This window comes from Homo sapiens, chromosome 17, assembly GCF_000001405.40.
Source record: "Homo sapiens chromosome 17, GRCh38.p14 Primary Assembly".
Taxonomy (NCBI): domain Eukaryota; kingdom Metazoa; phylum Chordata; class Mammalia; order Primates; family Hominidae; genus Homo; species Homo sapiens.
Genome location: NC_000017.11, coordinates 50,014,159 through 50,015,919, shown reverse-complemented (window position 1 = coordinate 50,015,919; position 1,761 = coordinate 50,014,159).

Here is a 1,761-nt window from a genome sequence, read left to right as displayed (position 1 = left end):
TTTTTTTTTTTTTTTTAGACAGAGTCTTGCTCTGTCACCCAGGCTGGAGTGCAGTGGCACAATCTTTGCTCACTGCAAGCTCCACCTCCCAGGTTCACGCCATTCTCCTGCCTCAGCCTCCCAAGTAGCTGGGACTACATGTGCCCATCACCATGCCCGGCTAATTTTTTCTATTTTTTAGTAGAGACAGGGTTTCACCGTGTTAGCCAGGATGGTCGCGATCTCCTGACCTTGTGATCCGCCCACCTCGGCCTCCCAAAGTGCTGGGATTACAGGTGTGAGCCACCGCGCCCAGCAGGTATTTCTTTACAGCAATGCAAAAATGGGCTAACAGAAAATTGGCACTAAGGAGTAGGGTGTTACTATAAAGGTACCTGAAAATGTGGAAGTGGCTTTGGAACTGGGTAATGGGCAGAGGTTGGAAGAGTTTGGAGGGCTCAGAAGATGACAGCAAGATGAAGGCAAGTTTAAAACTTCTTAGAGACTTGTTAAGTGGTTGTGACCCAAATGCTGATAAACATATGAACAGCAAAAGCCAGGCTGACAAAGTCTTGGAAATGAGGAAGTCGTTGGGAACTAGCGTAAAGATCACCCATGTTATGCCTTAGCAAAGAACTTGGCTGTATTTTGTCCAGGCCCTAGGGATCTGTGGAAGATTGAACCTAAGAGCAATGACCTAGGGTATCTGGTGGAAGAAACTTCTAAGCAGCAAAGCATTCAGGAAGTGGCATGACTTCTTATAATAGCCTATGATCATATATGGGAGCAATGAAATGACTTAAAGTTGGAGCTTATATTTAAAAGGGAAACAGAGTGTAAGTCTGGAAAAATTGCACCTTGGCCACGTGGCAGAGAAAGGGAAAGTTCAGGAGAGGAATACAAGTAGACTGTGGAGCAACCACTTGCTGGAGAGATTAGCATGACTAAAAGGAGTCAAGTGCTAATATCCAAGACAACAGGGAAAAGACCTTGAAAGCATTTCAGAGACCTTGGAGATAGCACATTTATTACAGAGCCAGAGGCCTAGGAGGAAAAAATGGTTTCAGGGGCCAGGCCCAGGGTCCCACTTCTCCCCACATTCTGACTGCTCCAGCTCCAGCTGTGGCTAAGAGGGCCCCAGGTGCAGCTTGGGCCACTACTCTGTAAGGCACAAGCTGTAAACCTTGGTGGTTTCCATATGATGGTAAGCCTGTAGATACTCAGAATGTAAGCATGAGGGAGGCTTGGTGGTTTCCACCTACATTTCAAGGATGTATGGAAAAGCTTGGGTGCCCAGACAGAAGCTTGCTGCAGGGGCAGAGCCCCCTCAGAGAAACTCCACTAGGGCAATGCTGAGGAGAAATCTGGGGTTGCAGCCCCACAGAGTCCCCACCAGGGCATTGCCTAGTGGAGCTGTGGGAAGGGGACCATCACCTTCCAGACCCCAGAATGGTAGATTCACCAGCAGCTTGCACCCTCTGCCTGGAAAAGCTGCAAGCACTCAACTCCAACCCATGACAGCAGTCATGTGGGCTGCACCCTGCAAAGCCACATGGGCAGGTCTGTCCAAGGCTTTAGGAGTCCACCCCTCACACCAGGATGTAGGACATGAAGTCAAGGATTATGTTGGAGCTTTAAAATTTAATGTCTGCCCTCTGGGTTTCAGACTTGCATGGGGCCTATTACCCCTTTCTTTTGGCCAATTTCTCCCTTTTGGTATGGGACTGTTTACCCAATGCCTGCCATTGTGTCTTGGAAGTAAATAACTTGCTTTTGATTTTA